The sequence below is a fragment of the Homo sapiens genome, chromosome 6, assembly GCF_000001405.40.
Source record: "Homo sapiens chromosome 6, GRCh38.p14 Primary Assembly".
NCBI classification, from domain to species: Eukaryota; Metazoa; Chordata; class Mammalia; order Primates; family Hominidae; genus Homo; species Homo sapiens.
Window position 1 is genome coordinate 137,305,379 of NC_000006.12, and position 23,776 is coordinate 137,329,154.

General features: G+C 37.6%; 1 long non-coding RNA gene across 1 annotated transcript, besides 1 other annotated feature; it reads right to left on the reverse strand.

Annotated features, from left to right (window-relative positions):
- Positions 1-393: 393 nt before the first annotated feature.
- Positions 394-8,737, reverse strand: LOC105378017 (uncharacterized). Its single transcript, XR_943043.1, has 3 exons — positions 8,626-8,737; positions 3,048-3,178; positions 394-523 (listed from the first exon to the last, which is right to left on the reverse strand). It is a non-coding gene; the product is annotated as an uncharacterized LOC105378017 (long non-coding RNA).
- Positions 9,712-10,312: an enhancer, noted in NCBI's record as "OCT4-NANOG hESC enhancer chr6:137636227-137636827 (GRCh37/hg19 assembly coordinates)". NCBI's record gives its function as "activates a minimal SCP1, AML or CMV promoter by ChIP-STARR-seq in naive and primed H9 embryonic stem cells {active_cell/tissue: H9 hESC(naive and primed)}" and the evidence as "EXISTENCE:reporter gene assay evidence [ECO:0000049][PMID:30033119]".

Sequence of the window (23,776 nt, forward strand, 5' to 3'; positions counted from 1 at the left end):
TGCAGCAGGAGCATGTCCTTAAGGATCGCTCATAATATTGTTTGTGGATTAAGAATGCCTTTAAGCAATTTTCTGCCCTGGGTGGGCCAGGTGTTCCTTGCCCTCATTCTGGTAAACCCACAACCTTCCAGCATGGGCGTTATGGCCATCATGAACATGTCACAGTGCTGCAGAGATTTTGTTTATGGGCAATTTTGGGGCCAGTTTATGGCCAGGTTTTGGGGGGCCTGTTCCCAACATTGGACCACTTTTCATCCACTTCCATTCAAAGTCTGGATGATGGAACAAATAAATAAGGTGATCATTAATGTATATATGGATTTTCCATTTTATTTTTCATATTACAAAGTGATATGATAGACTGAATTGAGCCTGAGCTTGAGATTTATTGAAAGCAGATTTTCCTTTATCATCAGCTGTCATTTTAAATATACTAAGGAGAATATGCAACACTGGGATTTATGAGACGTGGCTTGAGTTGCTACACTTTGCCTTGGTGGAAATTCCAGTCTTGTGAGAGATACTGGAATGAAATACATCTTAGTTAGTTTACTGGAGGAACACCATAACATTTGGGTTAAGAGCACAGATAATGAAGATACACTGCCCATGTTTGAATTCTGGCTTTATGTCTACAGCCATACCACCCTGAATGTGCCTGATCTCATCTGAATTCTGTCTTTATCATTTACTAGCTGTGTGATCCGAAGTAAGTTACTTAACCTTTCTAAGCCTCAGTGTTCTCTTTTGTAACATGGGGATAATAGGACTTACCTGATAGGGTTTTTGTGAGAATTAAATGAATGTATACACATGTATAGTTGTGCTTATAATGGTATCTGGCACATATATGTACTGTAAGTTTTTGGTATTATTATACATATATGTACATTATTGGTACATATACTAAGACCAGTATTTCATATCATAAAACTGAGAATAATATCTGAAATAACTATTATTTGAATTTTTCCCTCCCCTCTAAAAAAATGTTAACTTGCTTACAAATAATTACCTGTGTGGAAATGTCTGCAAATAGTCATTACTCTAATTAGTTCATGGAGGATATGTTGGGCCAAATAGATACAGCAATACTTAATTTTCCTTTACAGAGTTAATGGTTTTTAACCCTAACAATTTATCATTCAAAACATCTGAGTGCCTACTATGTGCAAAGTTACATATTGGCCATCTTTTAGCTCAAAAAGATTGTTCCCTACTAATTCTGAGACTAGTAAAAGTCTTCTGTAAAACTCTTTGATAGTCATGAGGGTATTGGGGCTGACAATATGATACCCCAAAGTAAGGCACCTTGGCATGCTGAGTACTTTGAACTAAAGGAGATTGAAAGACTGAGAGGCACGGTCCTTCTGCTCCTCTCCCGTCCTCCTATCTGTTGCCCCTCTTTCTACCACAAAGCGAGTCATAGAAACCAGAATTCCTCTTTCCCAAGGTGGGTCACAGAAACTAGAACCTCTTTCTTCCAAAGCAAGTCATAAAACATATAAAGGTCACTCTCTCCCTTCTCCCTTGAAAATTCTCATTCCAGATGGGTCCTGCCCCATATCCAGGAGGAAAGAAGGCTACACAGGGAGGCCAAAAAGAATCTGATCAGTCAGACCTCACTGGGTTCTGCCCTCAGTCTATTACCCTTTGGTCCAATCACACTTCTACACGGCTACCCATTCTTCATTGATCCTAAGCATAAAAATAGATGGTTTTCCCAGGGTCTTTAGGTCTTCATCTCTGAAGTTTCCCATGTCACATAAAACTTTGATTAAATAAATTTGTTACGCTTTTCTCTTGCTAACCAGTCAGTCTTTTGTTATAGAAATGTCAGCTGTGCTGGATGAGGAAAGGTGTCACATCTTTCTGCCCTTACAAGTGCATAAAGAGGTCTGTTGCTTACAAAATGTCTGGCGCATAATAAACATTCAAAAAAACAATGTGTCATTAGCACTGTCAGGCCCGGCCTATTGTGGAGCGTCTGTAAATGCAGGTGGTGCTAAGTCTGATCACAAAATAACTGAAATCACAGATTACCAATGATTGGTAGTTGGGTTGGGTTAGTAGTTTAAGAAATTATTCCATACTTCATGGGTACAGACCTTTTGTCCTGTGACCCTTGCATTTTAGACTACCTGTCTTTATGTATTTTAGCTTTATCTTTGGCGGGTAGATGAAAAGTCAGCATGTTCTTATTTATTTTTAAAATTTGAGGAACTCCGTGATCAGAAACCGTCGTGTGTGTGTGTGTGTGTGTTTCCATTTTATAGCCTAACTTCCTCTTGGGTCTCATATAGCTTAGTCTATTTTCTAACATGAACTTCCTTCCTTTCTGCATAACAGTGTCTGAATTTGCAGGACTCTGTACCCAATAAGTGTTGTTAACTGATTGGTAATCTGTGATTTCAGTTATTTTGTGATCAGACTTAGCACCACCTGCATTTACAGATGCTCCACAATAGGCCTGACCTGAGAGTGCTAATGACACATGGTTTTTTTAATTGTTTATTATGTGCCAGACATTTTGTAAATAAAATCTCATTTAATAACGTTAAACTGTACTTAAAGCATCTAGTTATTTAGAAGTCACATAGCTGTAAAAACAGCCCACTTGTCAAATCCAATAATTATGAGTATTACTTATCATATTTTATGCTGCGTTAGGTCTAAAGGCATATATAGATATTGCTTATCCTAATATTTTTTCCAAGGCAAAGTGTAGCTACTTAGGTCAAACTGTAAAGTCTAATTATGTTGACACATAGAGCAAGGATTAAGGCATTAAATATTTGGGATTTCTATTCATATTTTAAAAGTCACAGAAAATTACATTTCTTGACCCTTTTTTTTCCACATTTTAATTATGCCAAAAATGATTTTAACTAAACATTTTTCCTTATCAGAAAAAAAACCTGGCTTAAAAACAGTGTCTTCTCTCTATCTCTGGCAATATCAATATTGATATATAAAAAGGACAGTATATACAGGTAACTTTCCTAAGCCTCCCAAGACCCCTTTCATAATCCAGGCTATGTGCTTACTCCATAATGTTGTACAGTCCTGGTGGGGTCTGCTTCGCTGTTTCCAAACTGTGAGGAGCTTTGAAAACCATCCAGTCCCATTTCTTGGTTTTACAGATGGTGAAATGAAGGCCCAGAGAGATAAAATTAACCTAAGCAAAGTCATTGAAGAATAGGAAAGAGTAGTGTAAAATCACACTGCTAGAAAAAAAATCTTCCTTCATAATTAATTTTGAAAATTCCATGTCTAATCTGGAACTAAATATTCCCTGTAAAAGAAAATTCCTTGAATACCATGGATAATGCATTCTAATATCTAACAACCTTTTTAGTCAGAAGTGTCATTCTTGAGTGTAATAACCTCTTTTCATGCAAATTAAGCTTATTTCCACTTGTTAGATGCTTAACAGAGATGGATGATAGTCACTTTAGTAATTATAATCACACAAATGTGCATTAAAATATTTGTCAGTGTTAACTTATGCTCCATTATTTTCTTTGTACTTGCTAAAGAATTCAACATTTAAAATTTTCTAACATGTCTTTGCTTCCCATCCCCAGTTACTGAGACAGAAATCTCAATATCATGATTTGCTCCTCTATATTTTTCACTTTTACCTCTAATAAATTACTAAGGCCTGTTTGGTTTTGTTCCTTTGGTAGCCCTCAAATCTCCCAACCTTAATGTCACAATTTAATTTATACCACAGTCATTTATCACATTTCTCACATTATCACATTTCACTTGTGATAATTGCTGATTGATTAGTCAGCAATTATTGTGACAACAGCCAATTCTAAAATCTTGGTTGTTTAACGAACAAACAAACATTTATTTCTTGTTTGTGTTACATGAAGACAGCAGGTTAACCGCAGGTTTGACTGGGAGGGGTGGGGCTTGCCTGAGTCTAGCCGGGCTTGCCTGACTTTGGCTCGGCTCCACATCTTATGTCATTCCAGGGCTCAGGCTGAGGCAGCAGTTCCTGTTTGAGGTTAACTAGTCTCATGGCCAAGGGAAGAAGCTCAGGAAGGACAGAGCCACATCACATACACTTAAAACTTCTGCTCGGAGGTGGCATATGTTAAGTCCACTAGGATTCTGTTGGCCAGAGTGAGTCCTGTGGCCAAGCTCATAGTTGTTAGGATAGGGCAGTATACTATACCCACAGGAGAGTGTGCTCAGAGTCAGGAGGGAGCCAACAATTGCGAACAAGTAATGGAGTCTATCACAGTTGGTAGCCTGCCTACAGTTGTGTTTCTCTCCAATTCAGCCTCCATACTAACTCACAAACAGGTCAGGTGATACTTAGCAGCCTTAGAATTAAATCCAATCTCCTAACCATGGCTTCAAAGCTCATGTTAGTCTGGCTCCTTTATACCTACTGCTACTTTCATCCCTCTCCATTCCCCATCTGAAACCCTACCCTCTAGGCACAGGAAACCTGTATTAGTTCCCCAGAATAAGCCATAAGTCATATTTCTCTATTGTTAGGGTCTCTGCTCATTTTCTTTCCCCTCTCAGGAACACTCCTACCCACATTTCACCTGGCTCACTTCTGCTGGTCCATCAACGCTTTCCTGACTCTTCACACAGAGTTCAGAACTCATTTTATGTTTTCCCAGAGTATCCTCCGCCCCTCTATCAATACTTACCCCACTGAATTGTAATTGGCTGATTACTTATTTACATCTCTCACTACACTGAAAACTCCCTGGGATGGACACAATTTCTACTGTATTGCACCCCAGTCCTTGGCACAATAACTTATTTAGCAATTGTTTGTTAAATTCATGAGAAAATAATTTTTTTCTGCATCGTGTTATTACTGTATATGTAAAGTCAACCTGATTATAGTACTTTCTCAAAAACTTTCAAATCATTTTCTCATGCAATGAGAAAATTGCATTTAGGGATTTTGCATTTTATTTTTATGTGAATAGATCTCATATATATGTCATAGCTCTACTTTGCTAGTTTGGCCACTTTGGGGGAATATGTAACTACAAACAACGTTAGATTTCAGACTCTTCATCTGCAGTACAAGAACAATGCATGTTGGAATAATTTTGAAAATGAAGTAATATTGCATACACTAGGTACACTAAACCCAAACATGTAATAAAGTGCCTAAAGTTTTTTTTTAATTTTCATTATTTTTTTCATTTCTGATCATTGTGAATTGACTTTTACTTTTTTTCTCTCTACCACGCCCCACGGAAAAAAAAGTTGCTAATTAATACATTTTCTACTAGTTGAAACAGGGAGGAAATATTAGTTCAAATTGTCTAAGTTTATCCAGTTAGATGGTAGCAAGCTAGGATTAAAACTAGCCTTTCAATTTTCTATTCAGTGTAGTATCCACTTTTCTCTGTCTCTTTTTTTTTGCTTGCATAGATATCACTCAGTTTTCTTTCAAGGAAATGTCTAAATTTACTATTTGTAAAACAAAAGCATATTATTAAACTTTTTTTTTTTGGTGCAGGAAGAAGAGACACAAAGACTTTCTTTGCAAGGCAGGATTTTTTCTTATATTTGATTATGCAAACTTTTGGGGCCTGAATTGTCACATAAACATTCAATTTCCTCATTCATTCATTCATTCATTTATTCATTGATTAGGCCTTTATTAAGAGCTGGGGTGAAAGAAGATTTAGGAACCTCTTCAGAGAAATAAACCTTGAGAGAGAAATAGAATCTTCTAGAAGAGAAGAGGAACGAATAGCATCCTTGGCCCAGACAGTCCTGGAAAACAATAACCTGAACATTGCTGTGCGTGGTGGCTCCTGTCTGTAATCCCAGCTACTTGGGATGCTGAGAGGGAGGATGGCTTAAGTCCAGGATTTTGAGTACAGCCGGAGCAACATAGTGAATGCCTGTCTCTAAAATAATAATAATAATGATAATAATAATAATAATAATAATAAAAAATAACCTAAACATCCTTCTAAATGACCAGTTTCTTATTTCTCTACATAGAACTATGCAGACAGCTCTTCGTGAGATCTTGACTATAGTACAATGATTTTTATTATTGACCAACTTCACCCTGCTCCTATACAGACTATAAATTTCTGGGCAGCAGAAATCATCTCTCTTTCATCTTGCATTAAACTAGCACCTAGTCCAGTGTCTTGAACATAGTAGGCACTCAAAATGTTTGAGAGGCACATGCCTATGTTTTAAAATGTCTGATTTAGGTAATTGGGTCCTCTTGATCATTTTGCTGGTCTGAGGCTGATGGACATTAACTGATAAACAGACCATCATTGCTTAAATCTCCTCTTTTGTGCATTCTGGAGACACTACCTCTATTACCTGTTCTTCAGTTGCCCTTACTCACCTCCTCTCTTCACCTCTCTTTCAGTACTTCTTTTTAATTGTTGCTGCTCCTATTCATTAAGCCATTTGAAAATGTGGGCTTGCTTTCCTGATCGGGCAGCATCTGTGACCCTAAAGGAACTCATGATTCAATCCTTCATGTGAATACTTAATAACACATTTGAAGATAACCTTTTACTTGCACACTAGATATGCACCAGAATTTAATCTTATTTTCTGCATTTCCTACAATATAAAAGTCAAGTCCCTTACCAAGACTTTTGTTTCAGAGACTTAAGATCCCATTGCCCTTGATGGGGTTCAGGACTCACTATCCCAAAATATGGAACCTTGGCATATTGGGCATTTTAAGCTGAAGTAATTTGAGAAAACTGCAGAAGTGGGAAAGTCACTCTCACTTGCTTTCCCACTCCTGCTGCTGGCCTTCTTCCGGTCATAAAACCTGGGAGGATATTCTGACCCTCCCCTGAATAAGGTCATAAGACTCTCATGTGAGAGATGCTTTCCTTATACCCAGAGGACAGGAATATCCTTCTCTCTGAAGATGAAGGGTAACAGAGAAGAATCTGAACAAACAGGCCTTTTCCCAGTTAATGGTAATAAACTTCTTCCAGTTTATTACCATTAGATGATACTCTTTTTGCCCTGTCATATTTCTTCATGACTGTCCACTCTTCATCAAATCTACTATAAAAAACATTCAGGTCCGGGTGCAGTGGCTCACGCCTGTAATCCCAGCACTTTGGGAGGCCGAGGCGGGTGGATCACGAGGTCAGGAGATCGAGACCATCTTGGCTAACACGATGAAACCCTGTCTCTACTAAAAATATGAAAAATTAGCCGGGCATGGTGGCGGTCGCCTGTAGTTCCAGCTACTCGGGAGTCTGAGGCAGGAGAATGGTGTGAGCCTGGGAGGCGGAGCTTGCAGTGAGCCAGGATCCCACCACTGCACTCCAGCCTGGGCAAGAGGGTGAGACTCTGTCTCAAAACAAAACAAAACAAAACAAAAAACATTCAGGTTGAACTGTTTCTTCAGGTCTTCATTTCCTTATGAAGGCTCTGGTATCATGTACAATTTATATTAAACACATTTCTATGCTTTTCTTTCATTACTTTTTTTTTTTTTTGAGACAATGTCTTGCTCTGTCACCTAGGCTGGGGTGCAGTGGTGCAATCATGGCTTACTGCAGCCTTTACCTCCCAGGATCAAGCAATCCTCCTGGATTTTTGTAGATACAGTGTCTTCCTATGTTGCCCAGGCTGGTCTCAAACTCCTCAGATGAAGCAATCCTCCCACTTTGGTCTCCCAAAATGTTGGGATCACAGGTGTGAGCCACTGTGCCCAGCCTCTTTTGTTAATCTTCATTTTGTTATAGGGCCTCAGCCATGAACCTAGGATAAGTAGAAGGAAAGAAATATTTTTCCTCCCTTCCACCCCCTATATTTGCTGGCTCATTTCCCCCACCTTTCTCCAGAGATCACAGATTTTAGCTAATTATGGCTTTTTGCCATTCTTCAGACACGTTCTGCTCTTCCTCATCTCTGAACTTGGTTTTTGTTGATCCCTTTCCTAGAAAGCACTCTCCTTCTTTGCCTCTTCTAGCAAAATCCTACTCCTCTTTCAGCCTCTACTTTGTGAAGAGGTCATTGCTTCTGTCCCTAACTCTCCATAATTTCCAGATGAATGAATGAATGAATGAATGAATGGTTTACTTGACAGTTCAGATTTGTTCAACATGAATTTACTACCTCTTTCCTATAAGTCTATTTTTAAAACTTGTTTTGATTTGATACTCCTGATTGATTAATTAATTTGATTTGTCTTTTTCTAGCTTGGGATCCCCTTCAAGTAGTTCTTGAGTCAATTTTTTCAATATCATGATGAGCATATAATAATATATTATTTTGTAGATATTCTTCATTTTTCCCCATATGTAGGCTGTTGGTTTAACCAATTTATAAGCCCGGTGCTGACCAAGGCTTGAGTCTTTATTTATTTTTGTGTACATTTAGGTTTCCACTGTCTTAAGACTCAAAGCCTAAAATGGGCATTATTCTCTTTGACGAGTCTTCATATATCACATATGCCTGTAATAGTGTGCATTTTAAGGAAACACGGTGGATTTCTTTTTAAGTGCAGATGGGTTATTATTATGGAAAATAAGACAAAAATATCACATTGTATCTTCTAAGAAAATTGAGTGAGAGGAGAAAGTTACTATCTGACTTCGAGTTCATCAGAGAGGCTTAATGACTCACTAGAACAGAGGGCCCACTGGGAATTCTCAGTTCCACTGGAGAAGTCTTATGCTTGGACTAGATCCAGCTGCTGTGGTCTGCATCCCAACTCCACCGATTGGCAGCTATGTGACTGGAGCAAGTGATAAACTCCCCGTGCCTCGGTTTCCTTTTCTGTAAGATTGGGAGTAATAATGGTGTGCACGTCACAGGGTTCTTAGGAGAACTAAGGGAGTAAATATTTGTAAAGCCCTTAGAACAGTGCCAGACACATGGTTAAGTGCTGTAAAGTGTTGTTATTTCTGCTTTAGAATTTCTTCCACTTGTTTTTTAAGTTGGAGAAAAAAAATGCTTGTTCTCACTTTTCTGGGTTTCGACTGGAAGAATTAGAAAACAGTACAAGACTTTGAAGTTCTACACAGGTTCAGCTAACCACCATAAATTGCATCCCTGCCGCCCCCGCCCCTCCCCCTCACAACTATTTGAGGATGCTGCCCTCTCGTGGTCACTCGGCACTGCTTCTATAGCTCAGCCAGTTTGAATTATATCAGAATTTTCTTTGTCTCCACCTTCCTTTAACTTAAAGGCTCATTTGTCAGAAGTTAGAGTATTGCCCTCTGTGCATTACTCAAAGCATATCTGCTAATAACAGAAACAAAGGTGGATTTCAAAAACTTGAATGCCAAATATAATTGTTATTTCAATGGTTAGAAATGATTAGAAAATGATGTATGAAATTACAAAATGTATTGTCTTAGGTGTTTTTACTGATATGTTTGAAAATGAGATAAATAATGGCTAAGTTCACGAGGATCAAGAGGAGATCTCTTTGATAGTGATTTAGGCATTCCTTTTAGGAAAAAAAAATTATGACCTCTATCAGGTATAGTTATATTTCATATTAAAATTTAGATTGTTATATTAAGATTTTATTACTTTGGCAACATATTTTCCAAAATTAAAGAGACAAAACTTACAGTCATTAAAATGATAGCTTATGCTGTGTAGGAAGTCTATTAATATTACAGATTTTATGTTTTTCATGATCAAATTTTCTTTAGTCAGTGCACCAACTGTCTAAACCCTGTTTCTTCAGGAATCTCATATACAGAGATTTATTTTCAGGTGAATTTGTGAAAAATTCTTCTTTGCCAATTCTTTTGATAACTTACATAACTCTGGAGTACAGTTTGAGGAATGCAGCTCATCTCCACTGGGTGAACCATTATGCAATTCCCAGCACCAAAAGAGGAACATCAGAAGATCCGTGACTATTTATTTACACATTTGTTATCGTTTCTACTCGAGAATAAAGAATGAGTTTGAACTCTAAAAGCTCAGCCTGCAGGAAGCCCCATCAGTCTCTCCACACTTCTGCTGTCTTTCCTATTGTAGGCGGAACATTATTCAAACCACAGGCTCCGAACTCCCAGGTAACTGAAGCCAGCAGGAAGCTCTGTTTGATATCAAGTATGTTCTTTATCAATCTTTTTGTTGTGATGGGAAGAAATGAACCAGCTTTACTTTTATCTTGCCCTGTTTTAACATTACCCAGTAGGTGAATGCTTTATTGGTATGCCTTGGCCAAAGTCTTTGATATATACTGATTTTGTGGTCATAAATTTCCCATATTAAAAACATTTTTAATGGTTTTCCATCTACGCATACCAACCATAAAGTTTCACATGTCATGTGCTTTTATTAAAAGTATATTTAAAATTCTGCTGATAGGAGTCACCACATGGAAAACACAACTTGATTTTCCTTATTAGATGCTGGGAGACAGAAGCCCTTCTGCCATCAGACAGAGTCAAACCTAACAATGCAATCCTGAACTTTGGGGTCAACATTGTAGACTCTACTGAACACTCAGTCTTCATGCTTTTTTATGTTAGAAAGACTCAGTGAAATAAGAAAATGAATTGCCTTTATTTTTTTCCTCCGCAAGTAGTTGGTTTTCAATGATCAAGCTAGTTTTGTTTTTTGACACACAGGTAAACTATATATTGAATCTACTCTTCATTCTTTGAAGAATATTATTGTGTCATCTTGTTTGGATTCGGTGTCAGTTTTACAGGGAAGGTACCAGTTTGAGCAAAATATAGACATTTAAAGCAGTACACATGTTTAAAATGATTTTAAACTTGTGTCTTTATCTTTCCTACATCTTTTTGTTCGATGCACGATCGATTTTGGATGTTGTTTGTTCCAAATCCCCAAAATTCAAATAATTGAAGTCAAGGAATTCAGATTTTCCTGACAGAAGAAAATTTCGTGAGAACATTTTACACTTTTATTTTAGATCAACATTACTGACTGGTACCTTTTAGTACCTTTTGTGATTTAAAGCCTATAAATATGTTTTTTAGTACCTTTTGTGATTTAAAACCTATAACTACTTTAAGTATCAATTATCTCAGGGCTATCTTCATTCCAGTATTAGAAACAATACATTTATTTAAACACATACTTTTCTCACCTTAGAACATTGTAACCTTCTCACAGAATTAGTGTACTGAGCAAACCTCCATTTGACATTATTGCCAGAATATTTAAAGACTATTACTGAAAAGGAATAAATACATGAAAAGACTATTTTATTGTTCTTGTTGAACTTTTCATTTGAAACCAGTGCCTCGGTCTTGGTGCTACTGACATTTTGGGCTGCATAATTCTTTGTTGTAGGGGCTGCCTTGGGCCTTCTACAATATTTAGCAGTATCCCTGGTCACTACCCACCAGATGCCAGTAACACTCCCTCCCCCACTGTAATAACCAAAATGTTTTCAGACATTGCCCAATGTCCTCTGAGGAACTGAATTCCTACCTCCTGCCAGAACCACTGTTTTAAACCAAAAAACTGTGTACCACATTGCTTCTCTTGCAACATCTCCAGTCAGGACTTGGCCATTTTGCATGGCTTCCAAGATCAGATGTAGGATATATGGTCACATACATGTAGCTACATGTCTCCATATTTTTCTACTTCTTTTCCATCTTCCTCCCTTCAACTATAGCATGCTTCCCCACAAATATGCACATGTTGAGGCTAAATTTGCATTATGTTGGCCATCACAGGCTGGAGACTCCAGGAGACCTATGTTTGCATTCTCATCACTCTCCCAAGCCTAAGTCAGTGCACCCCCCCTTTTTTTTATGGAGTCTCGCTCTTTCGCCCAGGCTGGAGTGAGGTGGCACCATCTTGGCTCATGGCAACCTCTGCCCCCCAGATTCAAGTGATTCTCCTGTCTCAGCCTCCGTAGTAGGTGGGATTACAGGTGTCTGCCTGGTCTTGAACTCCTGACCTCAGGTGATCCACCTGCCTCGGCCTCCCAAAGTGCTGGATTACAGGCATGAGCCATCTCGCCCAGCCAGTGCATCCTTAAAAGGATGATCACACCTGTTTCATAGGTGCTGTGGGATTGATTACATAAGGAAGTGAATTGAAAGAAAACTAATTTCAAGATAACGTTCTTTGTGACAGGCATGAGGTAGGTGATGTATTTAGGTTACACTACATACTCCCAACATTTTACATAGAGAGAAATTGTGATGCTGAAAGACAGAATAACTTTTTCAAGGGCATACTGGTGTCAAATAGAGAAGTCACCTGTGCTTTCAAGGTACCTAAAGACTTCTCACAGTTCCTGAAACAAGGGAAGTTCTCAAGTATTATTCAGCCACTTATCTTCAGGAGGACCAAGGTCTGGTTTGGTTGAATTTTTACTCCATCAAAAATCAAATCTAGCAATCTATTAACCCTGCCCATTCTATTCATTTGGATAATAATCCAAAATACTCTGGTAAATTTAGAATTTTATTCAGAGTCCAATTCTTTTTTATCTTCTTGTTAAGATTCATGTTAACCTTAATTCAATTAGTTGGGAGGTTTACAGTGATGGGAGTTAGTTAAGCATATTTGCTAAGATGTGCTTATTTCTGTGGCTCCTGGTAACCCTTTCTCACCTGGGTTGCTTTTACGTCTGTGCTTTGTTCTTAATCACTGGCAGATGCAAAAGTGCATCTGTGAGAGAATCCTACGGTTCTTTGGGCTGCTGGTAATGAACTTTTGACACAGACCTGATTTGGGAGGAAACAGGTGGAGGTAGCAAAAAGAGTTGAAAGCAAATTATTTTTTCAGATTAAAAAATTTGTTTTCAGGTAGAAAGAAACATTGAGCAGAAAAATGAGATAAAGCAACAACAACAATAATTTTTAGAAGAGGGCGGCATTTTTCTCAGAGAGATTTTTATTTTGGTCATTTCTATTGGAACATGTCATGAAAATTCCTTGGTATTAGACAGCAAGGCCAGAACAGAGAGAGCAGCTTTGTGGGCTTTCTTAGAGCAGGAGTCCATGTTGGAACAAGTCCCTGATTGTGTCTTCATCTTGCCACTGGTGTTCTTACTTAGGGGATCTCAGGCCCGTGTGTTTGCAGACAGGGGAACATACGGAATGATTTCTTCAGTAGCAAATAATTGAACCCATTGGAAGGACGGTGAGCCTGTTTAAGGGACAACACGGAGGCCAGATTTTCCACCTCAGGTTTTTTGCCTATTCTACTTTGTCTTATTGTATTCTTTCAGCTGTAAGAACTATGATTTTATTCCTAGAGTTACATAATCCCAGAGCTGGAAGGCCTCTATATTCAGGTCTTAAAACAAAACAAAACAAAACAAAACAAAACTCTTTAAAGGCCACAGGACACTTCATTCTGGAAAAAAAAATCTGATATGGAAAAGAACTGAAAAAAGTGGATCCACCCTGGTCAAAGCTGGGTGTGCAGGCCTGCAGGTCACTGGTGTGCCTGGCTCAGCTCATGTCCTCTCAGACTTGTGTCATCTTGAACACTACCGGGACTCCTGGGGACTCTGTATCCAACCTCAGAAGATAGAAAGTCCTCGATGATGAGGAAATTGCAGCTAGCAAGTTTGAGTGGGACGCCCAGGCCACGTGGTTGGCCTCCAGATGCTCAGTCCCTCTGCACCAAATCAAATAGAAGGTCACTGGCCACCAGACCATCTCTGCTGGGATCTCAGACCTCCCCAGGATGACGGAATGAGAGTTCGGGGTTGTGGCATGTACAAGACTCTATTCTGGTGGCTTTCATACTGGTAACTGGGGCTTCCAAAAATGCTTCTCAGAGTTTTGGTTACAGTTACAGCAGTAAAAAAAATCCTACCAAGTAGCTTTTAGAAATATTTGATATTTTTCATTTTGAAATTGTCATCTGTCATTTATCTAATTCTTGTGTTATTGTTTCTGTGCAGCAACATTTGTGATCATATGTCCATCACAGAGAAAGGCTAAGACACAAAAGAATAAACGTCACCAACACATGGAGGCTATGTTAGAGTATGATTTTCTAATTTTAGGTTCAAACGACATTGATGAACATTTTTAATGTATGAAAAACAATTAGGCTGTCATTTGCATTGGTAACTGTGCAGAGTAAAATTTAATAAGATGGAAAATGTACTAAACAGGAGAGGAAAATGTGTAAAAAATTAAAATGACAAACCAAGGTTAGTAGGGTGTTGCAAAAACCATTTATGCATACTAAGGTGTAGCCAAATGAAATATGGGCTCAACTTGCCATAAAAGATTTAAAATTTTTATAGAAAATCACTTCAAAATATAAAATTATGATTTTATATTTATATGGGCTGTTTTTCTAGAAATGTTGATGTTTATTATCTGTTTTTAACTATCAGTAATTTATATTTGAATGTTAAGGGCTATGAATATAGAATAGTTGTCAGATTTCAACAGTTCTAAAATAATTGTCTTAATTTCACATGAAACCTATTACAATAAATAGTATTTCTGGCTAGGTATAAAAGACATTGGTTTATTTTCCAATAAAATTATAATTCATCTGGTTTATGAGCAGGAGCTTAGAGATCAACTACAATATGAAGCAGTTCAATGTTTAAATATTATTTCTCATTTCATACCTGTGATTCGAAAACCTTTCCTGTTCATACACAAAGTGAGAAAATGTATTTCTAATCACAGCAGTAACCATATACTAATAAAGACATTGCTGAAATTGAGGTTCAGTGTGTGTGTGTGTGTGTGTGTGTGTGTGTTTGTGTGTTAGTGGGTGCATGGGTTTTGTTTTTTTCTGAACTCTAATACACCCAACATACCGGGGGATTTGGAGAGGCCAATAGAGCAAAACGCCATGACTATCCCGTGGTGATGGTCAGCTCACAGTTTGAGAACCTGACGAACAGCTTGACCGGCCAGCCTGTGGCACCCACAGCGAGTGGCTCTGGATGCAGCTCTCGGACAGGAGAAGTGGGTTCTTCCAAAAGCAAACAAACTCCGACCCACGGTCTTCATCTGGGCCCATCAGGTCAACCGTTGTTTTACAGAACATCGGCGATTGTCTTTCTCCTTGTGTCAGGAGCCTCTTGAAACATTATACGAGGATAATTAAGTGGTGAATAAGGGTCAATGTGGACAAATAAATCAAACTGATAGTTTGAACACAGACTGATTGAGCAAAAACAAGGAATTCTGCCATGCCTGTTACTGCAGTGCTTGATGTTAACTGACTTTGTTAACATTACATCCAAAGGCAGCAAGTGGGAAAGCTTTGTGTGGGATCAAAAACTGAGCAAAGAGACACGGGATTTAATTGTTCAGCTTTATTTTTGAAATAAAGACATGCAGCGCATCTATTTAGTTGACTTTAATGGAGCACGAAACCAAACCCATTCTTTAGCATGCTAATTGAGCCAGAAGATGCTTTCCTCTCCTGTAACAGAGATGCAAGAAATACCAGTAGAATCATCAGACTTTTGGAGCAGAAGTTCAGAGTTTAAAAATCTGACGGGAAGTTAAGTCCCTCTATCTCATGAGACAAATGAAATATTCAAGTAAATACAATATAAGCTTATAAATATTTTTAAATCACCTATCACAAGTCTAGTGGTAGTAAATGTTCATAGAATAAGAAGCTGTTGAAGTCAAATGTATTAACTTATGAAAGAGATTTTGTCAAGCAGAAGGGCAGCCTAGAAATCCTAAACAGGAAAGAGAGGGAGAGAAAGACAGACAGAACTCTTTAAAAAGACTTCTGTGTGTCCACAGGTTTGTTCTCTGGGGAAAAAATTATTAGAAATGAAATCGAAGGAGAAATCTATCTTAGTAAGGATAAAGAGGAGCTATATATATTATATACATATTTATAAATTTTTATTAAAATATATTTTTTATAAATATTCAAATATACTTTTATAAATATTTAATATATATATATTTTTTACCACGAACATGCATCTTGACTATTTTATTTGAGTATTGGAATTCAAGTTTTCCTGGCAGTCAAAATTTCACTTCACTATCCAGCTCTAATGTAGCAGAAATGAATATGTAGTTTAAGCTATAATTTTTTGTCATGTTAATGATCTTAGTTGTTATTTTATAGTCTTGTTCTAACTTACCATAATGGTGCTTGTGTCCGACAACGTAGGACACTGGATTTAATAATATATCACATATATCTTCATACATGAACAGCATCAATCTTTAAAATGATGATATTTAATAGTCTCACAAATAAAGTGAAAGAAACGTAATATAAACTTATGAAAATACATGCTATATCAATGTAAGCTTACAAAAATATATGCTATATTTTAATTATAAACTCACCAATGAATGAATTTTATTATAAAGAAAACCATTACTTTATTAAAAAATCTCCTTTAATAGAAAATCTTCTTTAATAGAAAAATGTATAAAGAGAAATGAGACACTGATTGCTTCTACCTTTCTGTGCTTTCCATATTTTATATATAGGTTGCTTGAAGAAATTAGCAATATAGTGAATAGTAATTGCAAACAGTAATTTATGAGTTTAAAGACATTTAAATGGCATTTGTTTGTAAGCATTGTTTACAAATTCATTCCCATATCTGGTCATCTGTCTTCATTTTTTAATTTAAATACTAGTATTAATACCAATACGCTTAGATCAACAAGGATAACACTGTTATTAATGTTGTCTTTTGGCTGTGTTAATATAAAATAACTATCAAGAATAAATTATATGGGGGAAGGTGGCTATTTGCTGCAGTGCTCCTAGGTTTTTTTTTCCCCATAAATATTTTCACATAAAGAATCTAAGAGAAGCTCATCTATGAGCCGCCTACTCTGAGAAAGTGGTCTGAGAAAGGTGTAATGGATTGTGGAGGGAAATGAAGGCAAGCTTACACCATATCCAATCAGCCTTTTTCTGAAAGGTCAGGACATTCTGTCTGGGCCCATTTGTGTTTTTGATTCTGCCGTTTCACTATTCAGTAACACAATGTAACTGTCAGTCTCAACAACAGCTCCTGGATCTGCTGGCTCCACAGCTCTCGGGGTAACATACAATATTTCACATTCACAAAACAATTCAACGTCTGCGTGAGCAAACCATATGATGACCACAGGGAGCAATATGGTCACACCCTACTGAGCACTCTTAAGGGGACTCTGCAAAGAACTATGTCTAAAAAAGAATCAGGCTTTGCTCCTCTGGGCTTTTGCTTACTTGCCAAATAGCATTTTAATGTTTCATTTTTATCAGCAGAAGTCAAATGCAAATGTTCCTCCCTCTGCTCCATTTTGGTAGAGAAAGAGAGCTTTACTGCTATGCAAAACATTTGCAGTCATGGAGTTAGGAGGGTGATAGATATTAGAAATAATTTAGCACATTAATGATGGCCTTTTTGGATTTCCCCCGTGTGTGTTTTGTTATATTATTTATTTCTCTTCCCAAACAAAACCAGACACCAGCTCAAATTTATAAGGACAAAGCATGGGTTCTGATAGTCTAGGGAGACCAAACCACCAATGCCCTAACATAATTTCTAACCAATGAGATCTGAACTGAGCTCTAGAGAATTAATGCATATGGTACATTTTCCAAGGATTTGGCCTCTAATGCTACTTTTTGACCAGCTGATTGATTTAGGTTACAGTCCAGCCTGCCACTTCACTCAGAAGAAAATTAGATAAACTATTCACAGAAAATGACAGCAAAGAAAAGAAAAAGCTTACCTTCTAAGGCATGCAGTCTGGTTCCCTCCTGCCCAATATTTATTCTTATTGCTAGATTTCCAATTCTTTTTCTATCCAAGTTGCATCATGAATTTCTGAATTCATCATTAATTTTTCAGTGAATTTATTTTTTAAAAAACTCTCTTGGATTTTTCTAACACTAAAAATGTTTTAAAATGTATTTTCAGGTAATATGTGTTATCCTTCCATTCTTCTCAATGTTTTACCCATGCTGCTGAAGATTTCTTCAAGTTAATGACACTGAATTAACCAGTTACATAATTTATTCTTACCAACCCTCCCAATTATGCTGAGTTTGAATCATCTTAAAATCCTAATTTCTAGTTTTCCAGTAATAACACTCATAGTGATTATTTGGGTATACACAACTATTCTTACAAGAACATGATGATTATGGGGTTTTTTTTTCTAATTGATTCCAATCAATAATGGAGAGGCCAATAAGACTTAAATGGCACGAATTATTTGCCTCTGGCTTTAGAGTGTATTTTTGCTCAAATAGTATTCTACTTGAGCAAATTTCCCAAATTTGTTTCTTGTCCTGACATTTTACTTGATGTTACATTACAATGGATACAGCTATCACCTTGAATATTGATGAGAAGTACCGGTTTCGACGAATCTAGGTTTTAGATTGACAACTCACTACTTAGTAGAGGTAATATCAGTAAAGAGTATAAAGAAGTTAAAAAATAGAAAAAGTTAAGTTAAAAAATAGAAAAATTAAATGAAGAAATCCACAGTTAATAAACTTCCTTTCCCTACAACAGTCATCATGATTGAAAATAAACACCAGGTTGGAGTAGGTTGGTTGCATCCTTTTGTTATACAGGCCTCCATTATGAACCTGGTGATGGGGGAAAAGGGGAACTCATTTCCTCTCCTACATCAGCAGGGTACAGACTGCTGGTAATCCTCTAAATCTCTTTTCTGCTTCTCCCTGGGTTCATGACTGTGTAGCTAGAGACTACATTTCCCAGCATTCCTTGCAATTAGATGACACCAAGTCCTTTCTGGTAGAATGTGTAAAGATCTGATGTGTGTGTCCTGGGCCCAGAGCTTTGGGCACTGAGCTGGTTCATCTAGATCTTCTTTCTTTTTCCTACTGGCTGAACTTAGACACAGTGTTAAGCCAACTTGGACCATGATAACAATGCCCTGGCGGTGAAAGGATCCTGAGTGTCTGCAGCCTGTGTGGAGCAGGACTGTCCCAAGAACTGGACTGCCCACTGCAGATGGGTTAAAAGAGAGAAACAAATGTCTGCATTTCTGAAGCCACTGTCTTGGGGATCTTTTTGTTACAGCAGCTTAGCATTACTCCAAGGAATACATTCAAATACATGTCTTTCAAAGAAAATTATAAAAATATATTTAAAAGCCAAATTAGAAATAATGTGTTCCTATCTATATCACAGTTCCCCTTCATTATCATACAAGACAAAATCCTGTAAGTGGGCAACTATCTGTTGCAAAATGCAGAGTCTAAACTAATGTTTGTCAAATATGAGTTATAATTTGTTTTCTCATAACTTTTATAATGTAATAATGTCTATCTTTTTATGTTTAGTAAAAATTAATCATTTATTTAAAATATTTCTCCATAGGATTCTGTCAAATAGAAACAGCATATTTACTCAGCTGTTTTTAGTAAGTAGCTTTTTTCTCTGGCAAAAAGTTGAAAAAATGCACCGCAATATTTTTCTTTCCACAACAGAGACTGTTTTTGTTTTCTACCCAGTCATTCAGGAATCAAGAGGATAAAACCAATCATTTTAGACACACTTTTGTTTCTTCTCACTTTTCTTATGCCTTGAGTCCCCACAAGTTCATTGTCTTTTCTCAGGTTAATTTTAGGTGGCAAAGGGTAAGCAGCGAGGGGTCAAGTGGGTATTGGCCAGTTGAAATGGCAGACTTTTTAAAGGTAGTGCACATGAGAATAAATCAAGATCTATGACTGTAATCATGACGGCAAGCATCTCCCCAGACTGAAGGCCCTTGAGGAGATGTCACATCTATCTCCTCCCCACAAACTCTCTGTCCCCACTGTACCCAGTGTCTAAGCAGTAAACATATTTGCTCCATTAAAGAGGTTCAACAAATGATGTGTGGTAGGTAATTGATGTGGGTAAGTAATGATGGCATCTGACCACTGCATCAGTTGACTGTATGGACTTATGTATGGGTATCAGTCTGAGCAGAAAAAGCATTGCTGAGCTTTCATGCCACTGTCCTTGATGGTCTGGCATAGGATCCACCTTCTCTTCTAATCCCAGCCCCAAATCTCTTTCCCAGGATAAAACATTTTTTCATTCCCATCCTCAGGCATTAGTAGTGTGAACTAATGCTTCACTTCCACTGATCTTCAACAAAGGCATCCATTAGAGCCTTTTCCCATGTCACAATGATGTGATGACCACAGGACGTGATGTAATGTTTTGTTTTCAATATTTAGAACCAGAAGTTAAGACAACCCATTCATTCTGGAATTTCTTACTCCTTTCAAACTGCTGTCTTCAAGTTCATCCTTAGACGCTGCAATCCCCCTAGCTCCAGGAGAGTCAGAGCTTTTTCTTGATCTCAAACCTTTTCATTGATGTAATGTTTCTAGTTTTACACCATAAACTTTTTCATAGCAATAAACTACTGTTTTGATAAAAGTCAAAAGAAACAGATGTTTGCTCTACTTAACAAGTCAATTTGGAGAAATAAGTACGTATCAATTAAACAAATGTTATCAAGTTTGGGGGTGAATTTTGTAACAAAATATTACTTTAGGGTTTAGAGAAGCCTAGTTCTAGTTCACCTTCCTCAGAGCTGGGCACACAGTGGTCTTGCCTGCTGGCCTTGAGCAGGGACATAAGGAGAGAGGATGGACTTGAGCGGTGGTTGCTCCAAGTTCAAACTTCTGTCCTGCAACATACCAGGTAGGTGGGTGACCTTGAAGAGTTCAATGAATCCTTCCTATCCTCAGCTTCCTTATCTGTGAAAGAGGGACAGTGATTCCTACCTCATGATGTTGCCAGGTGGTATAAATTAGATGCCCTAAGTTAGCTGCCCTGCAAAGGGACAGGCAGTTAGTATGAGATAAATGCATACTACTTCCTACTTCCTGCCAGATTAATGAATGATTCTTGCTCAGTAAAATCCTTTAAGATTGGTTATCTTTGGCCTTCTCATTTCATTGTTGGAAACACTGAGTACTAGAAGCTTCCATTTTTTTCATTATATAATCAATAATAATGAAAATATAAGACTCACATTCACAGTCCAGTTTTCCCTGATTTCTAACCCATGCTATTCAGCCAGCTTGTGGTTCCATGGGAGACTTGAGGATTGTGTATTCTCATATAATCTTTCTGATAGGAATTTTTTATTGATGTGAAGCCTTTCTTGTACTCACCTTCTCCCACAAGACATTGAGCTTTCATTCTCTACTTGTCTTTTGCTCATATACCCTGTCTGTTTAGAATGACTACATCTCTCTCTGCTTAAATAATCTTTCTGAACTGTCCTTCAATTTGCAACTCACATCTTTCTTCCTTTAAGAAGTTCTTCCTAATACTGCACCTGGAATGACCTCAAGTTCCTGTGTGTTCCCAGAATGCTTATTCTCTTTATTACTCATTTGACATTTCACATTTGCTGTCTTCTATTAAGCTAGTAGAGTGTGGCAGAAAAACTCTGGCCTAGGTGTCAGTAGACCTGAGTCCTGGGCCTGACAGCAGGATATCACTCACTCACTGTAACCTTTGTTTCCTTGTCTGTAAAACCAAAGTAATAATACTCAAGTGGTCTGCTTTGACAACCAAAAGAAATGTTAAAACACTTTACAAGCAATAAAATGCTATAGAGGAGAAGGCATTAATTCTGTTACAAGCACATATGTTTTGCTGTTTCTTCTAAAACACCCAGCACTGTGCCCTAAATATACTATCAATAAAATGAATACATGAACAAACTAGGAACGTGAAGACCTGAGTTCTGGTGTCTGTTCTGCCAGCTGTATGACCTTTGGCCTGGCATCTGAATAATGTTCAGTTTCTTGTAAAATGAGAGGATTTGTCCAGAGTTCAGACAATGGATCTCAACCCTGATTGCACATTGGAAAGACCAAGGGAGCTTTTAAAAAAAGGCACATGCCTGAGTCCCACTTCAAATCCATCCAGATTCTCTGACAGTGAGGCTCTTGCCTCGGTATTAAAATTCTTTGTTTTTAATTTTGAAGCAACTACAAACTTACAGAAAAGTTGGAAATACAGAATAAAGACTTTTTTTCTGAACCAGTTAGAGTAAGTTGCCCACCCAGTAACATATTACCCTGAAAACTTTAGTGTGAATTTCCTACAAACAAGGACATTATCCTACAGATATGCAACATCACCATCAAAATCAGATGACTAACATGGATACATTCAAGATCCTATTCAGGTTTCACCCATTGCCCCAAATCCTATTCAGATCTCACCAACTGTCTTTTGGAAATGGAACCTCTTCAGAATCATGCCTTATGTTTAGTTGTCATGTTTCTTTTGCCTCCTTTAGACTAGATGGTTCCTCAGTGTTTCCTCGGTTTTCATGACGATGCTTTTGAAGATTACAGGTCATTAATTTTGTAGAATGTCCTTCATTTTGGGTTTGTCTGAATCCTCCTCATAATTAGATTCAGGTTCCATGATTGACAAGAATATTACAGAGGTGACGCTGGCTTTTCCTATCCAGGAATTTTGTTCCATTACTGATGAGGTTCACTTTGATGGCTTGACAAAGGCAGTGTCTGCCAGTCTTCTCAACTGGAAAGATAATCTTTTCCCTCTTTGCAATTAATCAATATCTTATGGGAAGATACTTTGGAACTGTGTAATATTTTGTGCCTTATCAAACTGTCAAATGTATTAATTTATTTATATCTGTATGTTTTAATGATTTTCCATGTTATTCAATTAGTTTTATTCCATTACTATCATTATTTATTTTGGTGCTCAAATTGTGCCCAGTTTGGCTGGTGGAAATCCCATCAGGCCAGCTCCTGTATCCTTCTCACATGTCCCCATCATCCTTTGAATACATCCTGCTGTCTAGCACCACAAGATATCCCAGGATCCTCTGGTACTTTTCCTGCCCTAATCCTGGAATTGGCAATCTCTCCAAGGGTCCCTGGCTCCCACCGAGAATAGTATGTGGAGGGAAGCACATACTAGATGTGTTCATCACTGTCGGGTTATCATGACTTCTAGGCCCTCTCAGTGGACAGGTTTAAGGATTATGTGAATATTGATATGTGTATATATCACTTTTATATTCATGTTTGTTACTATCTATTTTTGAAACTATGGGTTCACACTAATTCCAATGCCAATCTAATACTGCAAAGATTATTCTAATTTTCTCTCTTTCAATATTTATAACTCCTTCTCATCTTTAGGAGTTTTGGAATTTGAAAAAAACATCAACAAGAAACATCCTCTGGAGAATTTTCTTCACTTTCATCACCCACTAAGCTAAAAAAAATCACAAAATTATTAAATGAGATGCCTCTCTTTTTTGAAGCCCTATCATCTTAAGTTTTTTTAAAAACATACACATGTGCACGAACTCTCGCCTACATACCTTTTGAAAGCTAACACATTTTAATATTGCTTTTATACAGGCTTATGGCACCGTGTCATCCTTCAGAGCCATCTAATTATAATTAAGGTATTGCCTTTATAGAGACATTTTTAAAAATATAGGAATAATAATCTTTCTGCATTTTAAAACCTGAAACAGGATACGTAAATAGATTTGTCTTGTGTTGGGATCGGGGGAGTAGAAGTCCCTCAACAAGATGGGAAGAGTTGTGCATTCAGCAGTCCGTGATGAGTACGTATTGAGCCAGACAACGCTGTGCTGGAACACTGCTTGCCGGATGGACACCCAGAGATGGCATTGTTTGTGTTGGTAAAGCTTGTATCAGTCACAATTGAGAGGAGGCGGCTGCTGTGGATCATGAGAGCCATTTGGAAAGGCTTATATCATGTTAGTTGCACTTTGCTTCACATGTCCTTCCTGTTTTCAATCTTCCTTTTGGCTGGAAGACTGTATTTCCATTCAGAGGT